This window comes from Homo sapiens, chromosome 3 (assembly GCF_000001405.40).
Source record: "Homo sapiens chromosome 3, GRCh38.p14 Primary Assembly".
Classification (NCBI taxonomy): domain Eukaryota; kingdom Metazoa; phylum Chordata; class Mammalia; order Primates; family Hominidae; genus Homo; species Homo sapiens.
This window is the reverse complement of record NC_000003.12, coordinates 43,321,452-43,334,949: the sequence shown is the minus strand read 5'-3', so window position 1 is coordinate 43,334,949 and position 13,498 is coordinate 43,321,452. Positions and strand designations below refer to the sequence as shown.

The 13,498-nt window shown below is 38.8% G+C and overlaps 1 protein-coding gene across 7 annotated transcripts in view, besides 1 other annotated feature; it reads right to left on the bottom strand.

Annotated features, from left to right (window-relative positions):
• Positions 1–13,498, bottom strand: part of SNRK (SNF related kinase) — a 64,604-nt gene that overhangs the window by 16,194 nt on the left and 34,912 nt on the right. For all 7 annotated transcript variants that reach the window (XM_047448396.1, XM_005265245.4, NM_017719.5 and 4 more), the window contains one exon: positions 2,640–2,781. In XM_047448396.1, the coding sequence (XP_047304352.1) occupies positions 2,640–2,781 (142 nt within the window). The remainder of the gene's footprint in view (positions 1–2,639; positions 2,782–13,498) is intronic.
• Positions 8,647–8,847: a silencer, noted in NCBI's record as "peak4622 fragment used in MPRA reporter construct". NCBI's record gives its function as "represses an SCP1 promoter by STARR-seq MPRAs in K562 erythroleukemia cells {active_cell/tissue: K562}" and the evidence as "EXISTENCE:reporter gene assay evidence [ECO:0000049][PMID:32103011]".

Genomic DNA, 13,498 nt, shown 5'->3' with positions numbered 1-13,498 from the left:
AAGGACAATATATCCACACTTCTTATAGACTTAAAAAATATAACTAAAAGATATTATAGGCTGGGCGTGGTGGCTCATGCCTGTAATCCCAGCACTTTGGGAGGCCGAGGCAGGCGGATCACGAGGTTAAGAGATTGAGACCATCCCGGCCAACATGTTAAAACCTTGCCTTTACTAAAAATACAAACATTAGCTGGGCACGGTGGCACACACCTCTAGTCCCAGCTAACTGGGAGGCTGAAGCAGGAGAATCGCTTGAACCCAGGAGGTGGAGGCTGAAGTGAGCCGAGACTGTGCCACTGCACTCCAGCCTGGGAACACCACTAGACTCCATCTCAAAAAAAAAAAAAGATAATATAAATACTTGAGGTTAATACATTTGAAAAATTATATAAAGCAGACATGTCCCTTAAAAAACACAGCTTAGCAAAACTGAAATAGGAAAAAATTTTAAAAACCTAAATAGTCCCAATAATTTTTTTTTTTTTTGAGACAGGGTCTTACTCTGTTACCCAGACTGGAGTGCAGTGGTGCAATCGCAGCTCACCGTATCCTCGACCCTCTAGGCCCATGCCATCCTCCCACCTCAGCCTCTCCAGTAGCTGAGACCACAGGCGTGAGCCACCGTAACTGGCTAATTTTTCTTTTTGCTTGTTTGTTTAGTAGAGACAGGGCCTCCCTATGTTGCCCAGGCTGGTCTTGAACTCCTGGGCACAAATGATCCTTCCATCTTGGCCTCCCAAAGTGCTGAGATTACAGGAACGAGCCACCATGCCTGGCCCCAATAATAATTATTAGTTTTTTGAGACAGAGTCTCACTCTGTCGCCCAGGCTGGAGTGCAGTGGCATGATCTCAGCTCACTGCAACCTCCACCTCCTGGGTTCAAGTGATTCTCCTGCCTCAGCCTCCTGAGTAGCTGGGATTACAGGCGCCAGCCACCATGCCCGGCTAAGTTTTGTATTTTTAGTAGAGACAGGGTTTCACCATGTTGATCAGGCTGGTCTCGAACTCCTGATCTTGTGATCTGCCTGTCTCGGCCTCCTTAAGTGCTGGGATTACAGGTGTGAGCCACTGCGCCCAGCCTCAATAATTATTAAAAATAATCCTTCTAGGAGGGAGACACAGACAGCTACTAAGATACTAGGAACTGTTCTATTTCTTAAGCTAGATAATGGGTACACAGGCCCTCATTTTACTACATATACATTGTATACTTATTTGAATGATATATATATCAATATAAAAATAAGCTTTTTCAGTAGAAGCTGTGGAAATACTCCTTGAATTACAACATGCATCACAAACATCCAACATGCAGACAACGTATGCCCCCAGACAACTGCCCTGCTTCTTGGGGTAGAGAATAGTTAACAGTAACGTCATAAAAATAATCATCATCAATATTCATAGTTTCCTATGTGCTAAGGACCGAGCTAAGAGCTTTACACATATTAATTCACTTAATTTTCACAATAACCCTATATGGTAGTTTCTACCACTCTGACATCATTAGTAAATGGAGAAGTCAATATTTGAATCCAGAGTTTCAATACCTAAGTTCTTTTTTTTTTTTTTTTTTTTTTTTTTTTTGAGACAGAGTCTCGCTCTGTCGCCCAGGCTGGAATGCAGTGGCGCGATCTCGGCTCACTGCAAGCTCCACCTCCAGGGTTCACGCCATTCTCCCGCCTCAGCCTCCTGAGTAGCTGGAACTACAGGCGCCCAGGTAATTTTCTGTATTTTTAGTAGAGACGGGGTTTCACCATGTAAGTCAGGATGGTCTCGATCTCCTGACCTTGTGATCTGCCTGCCTCGGCCTTGAATACCTAAGTTCTTAAACATCCACCTGAGATGGGGCTTCATTTAGAGAAAAAAAGTCCTTGGGCAATCAGATTTCCTTCTTACCAGCTGATAGGAGAAACTCAAAACTCTGTTTCTACAGCAAAGTCCTGTAAGTAGTGGCTATAATCTCAGCTGAGCTCATTAAAAAATGTCACTTAAAATGTCAATACTGAACTTCCAACAGTTCTATTCCATTACTATATTTCTCACTACACATATCATAGTACTATGTACTACTTTAAATTCCAAATAATTGAGTATACTTTTTATGCTGGCTTCCCATAGTCACATAAACCTAAACAGCTCTTTAGTCAATTAGCAGAAGGTGTGTGAAGAAAATTATGAGACATACTATGTAAACCCTAAAATAGTGTGTTGATGGTCTATTCAGGAAAGAAAATGCCCTAACTCTTCTCTGGAACTTAAAACAATTCCAGGTGATCTTGCTTTTTGCTCATGCAGAGAAAGGTAGTTCCCATGGTATTTCTTCAGTTCAAGTGAAATAACCACCACTCCTGAAGGTTGAAGAGGCATGTAATAGATTTCTTGAATAAGAAATAGATGAATACATTTTGTACTCTAATATTAAATTTCAGATCATATTCAGGGGCTAACCACCCCCACCCCCGCCGACCGAACACTCTGAAACAACAGCAGAAATATTAAATTCAAAAATTAAAATCAACCCAGATGCTTGGATGTTTGAAGTCCTCTCAAATTTTCTTGACATATTAATGGAATTAAAACTTCTGGTTTTAATCTGAGTCCTTAAGGTTTCCACATACTTTGTTTTACTTACTCTTTACACTCTTTAGACACATGGGATGGTACTGTATATTTGCAATCCATGATCATTGTCAGTGTTTCACTGTCATTGGCTTCTTGAAAGGGCGGCTGCCCACACACCAACATGAAAAGGATCACTCCCAGACTCCAAATATCTATAAATCAAAGACATACTTTAAAATATTGGACTAATTAGAAAACCAAAAACATTAAAAGTGCGCTAACAATATTATTTTATCTTGAGCAGTCAAAAGCATTTATATCTCAAAGTACAAACATCCATGAAGGAAAAGAAGCCCCAATAGGGCAGGGAAGGTGTCTATCTTCTTCAATGTTTTTACAGTAATTGCTAGTACACAGTGAATGGTCAATAAATGTTCGATGAAGAGACAAATTAATGCCTTTGGTAACAGAGCAATAATATCAACTGAAAAGTATCCAGGTGCCCAAGCCAACAGACAACACACTGCTATTTTTCCCATTAGAATATATACCAGAAATAAAACTAATATATTAATACTCTGAGACCGGAAAAGAATTTTGCCTAAGGTCACAATTATGTCAAGTTGTTCTTTACCTCAACGCTAGTGAGGTAACCAGGTGATGTAACTCATGTCATTTTATACGCAAGAAAATTAAAGCTCAAGGAGGAAAGAAACATGGCCATCAATATAGTCAATCAGGAAAAAGACTGGTTATATATTACTCCAGAGGATGAAACTTGGTTACTTAAGAGACACATTTCAGCTAAAAAATGGGGAACTACTCAATGGAGCCGTTACAATACCAGAAAAGGCAGTGAGTTATCCATCACTAAAAGTATTCCAGCAAAGGCAGGGCAAACATCTGTCTAAAATTTTGCATAAGGCATTTCTGCACCAATGGTAAGGCTGGGCTAGCTGACATCTAAGGACCTCTCAACTCTAGCATTAGACGAACTCTGACAGTAACAAACAACTCCTTACCTCTTTCATCATTAAATAAAAAGCAAACCCATCAATCATATGGGAAAATGATCTTTTGTTCAGATGAAAAAAAATTTTTAAGATGAAAAGGACTTAGGAAAGGCATCACAAATCATTCATTCATTCCAGAAACTAAAGAACAGGCATGATAATATAAACATTCACATAATAAGAAACGAATTCAAGAAGTATTCTAGACCACAAAAGGCTTAAAAGAGAATGGAAGGGCAGACCACATGGCCTTTGTCATCACATCTGTTAACATTCAACTGCTGTTTCCATTTAAACTTAAAACACCCAAAATAATGTAGGTTCCATGTTATTTCCCAAGATAATTAAAACTTAATAAAATATCTTTTCCTTGGTTCAAACTAAACAAAGATTGGCAACAAAGGCAGAAACCCAAAAGTTACATACAATGTGATTTTTTAATACGTACAATAAATTTTACTAAGGATACTCTGATGGAAACTAATGAATCAGATGAAAAAAGCAGACTGAAATTAAACATTTACGTAATTGAAGATGAAAGGGACCTATGGATCATTCAGTCCAAACCCTTGGCTCTGCAGTCTCCCTAAGAGGTCTGACATTGCTTTTTGAATGCATGCATTATCTGCCCTAGGACAGCAAGCTGACTCAGGAGTCCACTCCATTCACTGTCATTTCTTTGCCCTGACTTTGGAATCCAGAGAGCCATCCCCATTCAAAAATCAAACATATCTTAATAATGGCGACTAGTCACATCTATTCTTTAAATAGCCAGTGAAACGAATTTATAACCCCAGTCGAAGTAGTACCTTATTAAGATTTTTTAAAGGAAATTTATATAGTTTATGTTTAACTTAAATCCTCCTCTTTGTACCACTCAAATCTGCTATTTTGGGTCACTTGTCCCAACTCCCAAGCCACCACTGTGAACAAGTGGCAATTACAATTATTCTCCCTTTATTGCAATGTGCACTTCATTTACAAAAAGTTATGTTTTAGAAATTCACTGTAAAGTAAATGCCACCTTTCCAACTATGTCCATTATCCAAGGAGGGAAACCTACCAAGTTTTAAAAAATAATATATACTTGGCTATCCCTCCACAGCAAAAAAAAGGGGTGATTTTAAATGGCTGACAATGAAAATACATAAACAATAAACATCCAGGTAGTTAAAAACTTTTTCTTCTATTGTTCAAATATTGACAATGTTTAATGCGACTACTTATAATCATACCTAACCACTAATACATATGTATTTGAAATACAATAAATTCATATCTTTCCATATAAGTCCTATAAAACATCAACTTTTATAAAATGAGTTTAATGACATTATTTCCACTACTATCTCATACTATAACTGTACATAAACTAGTTTGGTTTTTTACCTCTTGTCCATGCCAAACTGGATATCTGATAGTGCAATTATTCAAAATAATGTTTTAAAAATATAATGAATAATATAAATATCAACTAACAATTACCCAACATTCTTATTTGACCGAAGAAAACTTTCTTTTTCTGTTAAAGATTAGCCTCACAAACAACAAGAAGTCCAATTATTTGGAAATTTTCTCTTCAGGATGATTTGTCCAATCCCCTTAACACACTCGGCTTGTTATGATGTGATACATGATTAGAATAATAAAAAAGAAGAAAAGCAACATAAATATACAGTCCCACAGTTTTCAGTTAGGGCTCAAATAATTTCTAAATATAGAAATGCTAAAAGATTGAAAAAATTAGAAATACAATTCTATGTCAAGTAGTTGGCTAAGCTAAATGACATAATTTGAAGCATTTAAACTAGAAAAGAACAGCAGGGTAACTAAGTTTCAGAGAGGGCAAATGACTCTCCCACTGAGGCAATGTGATTATTCAAGGGGCCATTTATTCCATATATTTATTTCCCAGACTTTTTTTTTTTTTGAGACGGAGTCTCGCTCTGTCACCCAGGCTGGAGGGCAGTGGTGCGATCTCGGCTCACTGTAAGCTCTGCCTCCCAGGTTCATGCCATTCTCCTGCCTTAGCCTCCCGAGTAGCTAGTACTACAGGCACCCGCCACCACACCCGGCTAATTTTTTCTATTTTTAGTTGAGACGAGGTTTCACTGTGTTAGCCAGGATGGTCTCGATCCCCTGACCTCATGATCCATCCACCTCATTTTCCAGACTTTTTATTTCTCTTCTTACTTTACTTTTGTCTTTGAATAATTTTACTTTTTCATCCCAAGGGCCAAAGGAAAGAGATAAAAACAGGCCACTCAACAGAGCGCTACGACTTTAACCAAATTATTTTAAAATGTGTTCCCAATCTTTAAAATGGAAGTACTAATAGTAATCTACTTTCTTGTAAAGCTGCTGTGGACATTAAATGAATTAAAACAGAATCCATGCTAAGTATTCAGCACAGAGAAAACATTCAAAGGTGGCTGCTGCTGCCCTGCCCTGCTTCATCTGTGGCAGGCACTGTTCTTGGCATAGCAGACAGAGATGAGTAAGAGATGCCCTTGCCCTTACAAGCCTCCCAAGCCACTAAGGATGCTCCAGTGGAAATTAGTGAAACAGATGTGGGAAACAGACAGTAGGTAAGTTCAAGCAGGCACAAAGCCAACACAGTTTGAGATGGGAGAGAGAAGAAACAGGGAAAGCTTCTTATTCTTAGTAATTCAGGTTTTTTTTAAAAAAAGGTGATGATTCAGGAGCTTGGGTCCCCAGAACTAGACATCTGGTATTATAGGACTAAGAATGGCATCAACAAAAATTATCCACCATATTCCTCCACAAATGGGGGTGGGAAGTGGTACCTGTCTTAATATAACATTCATTTTAAGCCAGGCACAGTGGTGCATGCCTACAGTCCCAGCTAGCAGGAAGCCTAAGGTGGGAGGATCACTTGAACCCAGGAATTTGAGTCCACAGTGTGCTAAACCACATCTGTGAATAGCCATTGTGCTCTAGCCTGGGAAACATAGCCAGACCCCATCTCTTAAGAAAAAAGAAAAACCATTCATTTTAGAGAATATTTTAAATTATCTTTTTCCATAAGAAAAAAAAAAAAACCGTGTTAACAAAACTACAAACTCCTAAGGTATAGACCACAGCCTCAGCTTGAGATCCTAAGACTGCAAGGGATCACTGAAACCGTAAATGGGGGATGGGGGTGTAATGGAGCGAAATGTACAGGGGACCTTATTATAATCATTTCCAAAAAATGTTAATGGAACTGTCTCTTCATATTAAAGATCCACGGGTTAACAAACATCAACCATCTGAATCAAATATCATATAGATACAACTATCTGAAGTGTATGTTTTTATTTCAGACCCAGCTATAGGCACTTGGTTAATAAAAATGAAAAAAAGGAAATATTTAATAAATGTAATTGGCTTGGTTTAAAAAAAAAAAACCCAACTCATGGAACTATGGGAAGGAGTAAAGAGATAATGAAGTTTTTCATAATATAAAGGGTGGGAGTTACAAGTTCCCCTTACTGGCTGCCTTCAAGCTAGCTGGAAATAAGGTCACAGAAATGAGCACTGAAGTCTCATCTGGCTAACACTCAGCAGGTCTATATAATATAACTGAATTATGCTATTTCTAGGGTTGGGGTAGAGTTCAAGATCAAAATGAAAACAAAACAGAATAAAAGAACATGCTAATCATTCATCTGAGGAAAAGCAAATGCCAACAGGGTGGGGAGGGGACTTCAGGACTACTGAGAGGTTTCCTAAAAAGTCATTTCTAAACTGAATTATCTATACAACAAAAGAGGAGGATTAGAAAATAATAAAAATGGGAAGTCCAGAAGAAGGATTTTAGGTAGAAACCTCTATTTTTTTCCTTTTATCAGCTTTCTTTTATCAGTATAGCCATAAATAATGAAAGAAGCAATAGAACTAGAATGTTCTAAAACCACAGCAGATAAAATAGGGGCACCTTTTACAAGACCACTTCACAGCTGCCAGGATTTATGCAATCACTTTTCAGTTCCAACTACGGTCACAAGACACTGACATATGACCTAACACTAATGTAGAAGGCAATGCTTTCTTAGAATAGCAAGTACTGTTTCAGAAGTGTGTAGGTCCCAGGAGTTCTATAATAAAACCTAAGACCTTTGCTTTTTGTACAACACTGAGAAACCTAATTGCCCATGTTTATCCATCTGAATTCCTATTTACACAGAAGAACTACTTGTCTGCATTCAAAATCATGTAGAGCTTTGGTTACTAAAGATTCTTTCTTGTAAAACAAGATCAGTGGTTAGTTTTAAGGAACATGACTAGAAAGCATTCCAAAAGTAGAAAACTGTCAGATCATCTGAACTAACAGCATACGAAAGAAGCAGAAGAGGAATGAAGAACTTGGACAAGTTTTTTAGATCTATTTTCTGATATGTCTAGTATTCCTGGTTTTATCGATACTCTAGTTAGAAGCAAGGTTTTATTATTTAACAGGGAAATGTTTCCTTTTCCCCTAGAAAGAACGAATGCCATCATCTGATACCTACTTTAAAACACTCCTTTCCCAGATCTTAATTCATCTAAATGTCCCTTGGGGACTTCAAAAATCAATGCTGCTAAAACTAAGCTTATCATTTTTTTCCCCCAAGTTTATTTCTCCCCATCTACCCTGGTGGGTACAGTCTAAACTTAGGAGACATCCCAGACTCCCTACTCTGAGGGTCCTCTGACTTCCAGATCAAGAAGGCACTGCCAATTCTATGATGTGCTTCAAATCCTCCAATGATCCTCATCTTCCCCAAGGTCTTCCCACACTGCCCTCCAACTCAGAAACCTGGGCTACCTAACAATTTCAGCATCATTACAATGGGCTGTGATTACAGATATTCTATTTCCCTCCAATACTTGGAGCTCCTTGAGCACAGAATAGGGCCTTCTGTTGAGCAGGCCCTAGTCTACACTCAGCCAGGGCCTGCTCAACACAAGTTTGCTGAATGAAAACCTGAAATTTTTCAAAAGAGTTCTGCAAATATTGTGGGGCCCCCTCAAAAGACAGCTAAAGCAGAGTTTTAGGGTACAGAGGAAGGTGGTGGTTATTCCCAATCCTACACACACACACACATACACAAAGCTAAGAAGAAAAGGAGACTAAGAAGTGCTCAGAGCAGACTGTGGTGGGATAAATCAGGGAAGATAAGCTGCAGTTTATTTCAGTCACCTTTTTAAGGCCCTGTGCAAACTTGTTTTTTCAAGTTAAAACAGAAAAAGTTCAAGAAGTCAAAGTGTTATCAATCACATATTGTGGGACTGCACACATTCACACAAATCCAAACCAGACAAGCAGCAGACACCCTTCCAACTCAGCATTCCTTCATAAAATCATTTTACAAACCTGCTGTTGGTACCACTCAGGAAAAGTACAAATGAAAACGGAAAGATAAGATGGCGAAAACATCATACTTGGGCGATTTCTTTCAGTGTGGCCTAATGAAAATAGCATGCCTGGCCTAAAGCTTCAGAGAGACCTGGTTCAAATCCTCTGATGGCTGCTTAGCTGAGTTTCAATATGGATACTCATCCAAGGGGGGACCCATTGGAGAACTGCTTCACCAGGGATACAGAGTGGCTTTTTAAATTTAGTTTCAAGCAGTGATTTCACATTTCAAATTTCCCACAAGATTATGACAAATGCAATGCAATTTTTAGGCTTATTATATGGTTAACTTCGAACTAGAAAGAAGAAACATTTAAATTTAGCACCACATCTAAAAATGTCCAATTCTATTTGTCTAGTCAGTCAAATGCAACTAGATTAGAGACCTATATGAATCAGCATTTTATAAATTTGGAGTGTCCATCAACTAAACGTTTTAGTTTGACAGCTAGTGGAGTATTTTGATGTTTTCTTAAGTTGATGTTAAAAACACAGTCTTTTGGGCCGGGCACGGTGGCTCACACCTGTAATCCCAGCACTTTGGGAGGCCAAGGCGGGTGGATCACGAGGTCAGGAGATCGAGACCATCTTGGCTAACACAGTGAAATCCTGTCTCTACTAAAAATACAAAAAATTAGCCGGGCGCGGTGGCGGGCACCTATAATCCCAGCTACTCAGGAGGCTGAGGCAGGAGAATGGTGTGAACCCGGGAGGCAGAGCTTGCAGTGAGCCAAGACAGCGCCACTGCAGTCCAGCCTGGGTGAAAGCGCGAGACTCCGTCTCAAAAACAAAAAAAACAAAACCAAAAAACACAGTCTTTTGTGTGAGGCTGAGGTGTGCTAACATAAGATGAATATACAAGCTATTAAAACACCAGTTGATAAAAATCACCTGCTGCAAATGGCAGGCTAAGAAAATGGGTTCTCTTTCAAAAAGCAAAGAAAGTTTAATGAAACAAAGCTTTCTGGGCACTGGGGATAAAAATCAAGCAAGGTATGTTCTTTAACAGAAGATACATTATGCAGGTTTCTCTAAAATGTTTAAGCTTGCCAGGAAACTAACTTCCTCATTTGAGAGTAAAGAGAAATGAACTTTAAATAGCAAATTTAATATAACAAATTTCAAAATTCAAAATATTAGCTCTTGAAATGTTTGTTTTGGCTAGTTCTCCATGCATAACACCTAAATTAGACATGTGGTTTTAAAATGTATGCAACCTATTTTCCTGTATTAAAAAAATCAGTATATCTTTCTAGGAATTACAATAAATACACAACCTGGTTGGTTCCATGTAGGATTATAACTTTCAGATTTTCCTTCGTATTAAAAGTTTAGAAAAGTTCTCTCAAATATAACCACACATCTCCTGTTTTTCAAATTAACACTTACTTCTTTCAGATTATGAAAGCAGTGCATATTTAATGCCAGTAAGATTTATTCTTTTTTTTTTTTTTTTTTGAGACAGAGTCTCACCCTATCACCCAGGCTGGAGTGCAGTGACACGATCGCAGCTTACTGCAACCTCCACATCCCAGGTTCAAGCGATTCTTCTGCCTCAGCCTCCGGAGTAGCCGGAACCACAGGCATGTGCCACCAGGCCTGGCTAATTTTTGTAGTTTTTATTAGAGACGGGGTTTCACCATGTTGGCCAGGCTGATCTTGAACTCCTGACCTTGTGATCCACCCGCCTTGGCCTCCCAAAGTGCTCGGATTACAGGCGTGAGCCACCACGCCCGGCCTAACGCCAGTAAGATTTATTAGCAGCCTGTGGGAGGGCCCCATCCTCACCAACACCATAGATAATCCTTACTATTAGCCTATTAGGTAAAATTATAAAGATCTGTTTCAATGTATACTGGCCTGATTATTTTTTCCCTAATTTCTTTAAGGTATAATTTATATACAACAAAATTCACCATTTTTAGGGTGCATTTCTCCAAGTTCTGACAAATGCAGTCACATAACTACCACAATCAAGATACAGAGCAGCTGTGTTACCCCAAAATTTCCTTTGTGCCTCTGTGTAGTCATCCCTTCCCCAAGCCCAGCCCCTGACAACCACAGCTATTGTGTGTCCTTGCAAGTTTTGCCTAGAAATGGAGTCACAGAGTACGTAGTCTCTGTTTTTCTCAATAATGCAGACTGTTTTGCAGTCTGGTTTTTCTCAATAATGCATTGAGATTCACTCATGTTGTTGTACACATCAATAGGTCACCATTTTTCATGGCTGAGTAGTATTCCATTGTGTAGATGTTCCACCATTTATTTCAGTTTGGGACAGTTATGAATAAAGTCACAAAAAAAGTGTGTACAGGCTTTTGTATAAACATAAATTCTCATTTCTCTTGGGTAAATACCTAGGAGTGAGTTTGCTGGGCCATTGCTGGGTAAGTGTATGTTTATCTTTCTAAGAAACTGCCAAATGATTTTTCTAACTGGTTATACGATTTTACATTCCCACCAGAAATGTATGAGCATTTCAATTGCTCCATTCACACCCTTGCCAGCACTTGGTATTGTCAGTTTTAAAAATTTTAGCTATTCTAATAGGTGTGGTTTTAACTTGCATTTCCCTAATGACTAATGGTGTGGAACATCTGCATGTGCTTATATGCCATATTATGTCTTTTCTGGTGAATTATTCAATATTTTTCTTTTTTGGATCATGCTCTTGGTACTGTACAAAATATCTTTGCCTAACCTAAGGTTGCAAAGATCCCCTATGTTTTATTCTAGAAGTTTTATAGTTTTTCATTTTACATGTATGTCTATGACACAGATCGAGCTTTTACACATGGCGTGAGGTACTGATCAAGGTTCATTTTATTGCATATGGATATCCAACTGTTGCCACAGCATTGCTGAAAAAAACGGCCATTTCTCCATTGAATTGCTTTAGCACCTTTGTTGAAAATCAACTGGCCACATATGTGTAGGTTTATTTATGGACTTTCTATTCTATTTCACTGATCTATCAGTCTACCCTTTGCCAATACAGTCTTTTTTTTTTTTTTTGAGACGGAGTCTTACTCTGTCGCGCAGGCTGTAGTGCAGTGGCACGGTCTCGGCTCACTGTAAGCTCCGCCTCCCGGGTTCACGCCATTCTCCTGCCTCAGCCTCCTGAGTAGCTGGGACTACAGGCACCCACCACCACTCCCAGCTAATTTTTTGTATTTTTAGTAGAGACGGGGTTTCACCATGTTAGCCAGGATGGTCTCGATCTCCTGACCTCATGATCTGCCCACCTCGGCCTCCCAAAGTGCTCGGATTACAGGCATGAGCCACTGCACCCGGCCTACCAATACAGTCTTTATCATTGTAGCTTTTCTACTAAGTCCTGAATACTCTAATTATTTGCAAGGTTAAACTTTTTCTTCTTTTACTGGCTAGTTACATAACTTCTTTAATAAATTTTCTTTTCATTTGTCTATAGGGGAGTTTGTCATTGATTTGTAAGAACTCTTTCTACCTTAAGAATAGTAACCATTTCCTATATTACAAATATTGCCCCAACTTGTTTGCATTATAATTTTGTTTCGAATAATATGTGTACTACATCCACGAACTGTAATCAAAGCTACTACCCTTTTTCTTATGACTCTTTCTTAGAAAGGTCAAGATCATATGAATATTCACTTTGTTCTTAATTATTCACATACAAATCCTTAATTCACCTGGAATTTATTTTGAAATAGACATACATAGAAATCAATCATTTCTTCTCCAAATGTTGAATTTTTCCAGTCAATTAATTAATTCTTCCTCTTATGTTGTCTAATAATAGAGGAATTTAAAATGATTAGACCCTGTTCTTTTTTCTGCATCACTCAGAATGACCAGCTGAAGAACCATGCTAAGATACAGCAGTGCCCCTGGGGGCATCAGTCTCTATGCCAAAAAGCCACAAAGCAGACACTGATATGTATATTCAACAAATGTGCGGCAGCACTATTTGCCAGGCGCTGTGCTAGGTGCTGAGATATAATCATAATGAAACCTAAAAAGTTGGCAATGAAGGGACCTAGGTGAGACAGCACCACCGCACTTTGTGTCCTGGGACTTGCCAAAATTCACCTGCTCATTAAGTCACACAGAAAGTAACAACCACCTGGCTTTAAAAGATGCCTCCATCTTATCTTCCATCAAAGATTCCCCTTTTAGAGCTGCTTCCATGGTAAGTAGGCGCCTCGCCTTACCTCCAGAGGTGCCCATAAGCACTGTTAAACACTCGGACTTCAGGTGGCAAGGAGAGGCGCACACCGTGTTTTTTAAGTTTTTGATGATGATTTCATGATTCTTTCTCATCTTGCTGCTATCAGTCAGGGCACTTGACTTTAGGAGGTCCCTGTTACCTATCAGCTGACAGCTGGAAATACGAATTTACTGAACTTGCTAGAATTATACGTAAAATTAACTAAATAAGGGTCTGAGTGAGACCCTGAATGACAGCTACGAGCAAAATACATGAGCTTTGTACATGCACTTAGGACAGTCCATTTCATCTACCAGGAGTCT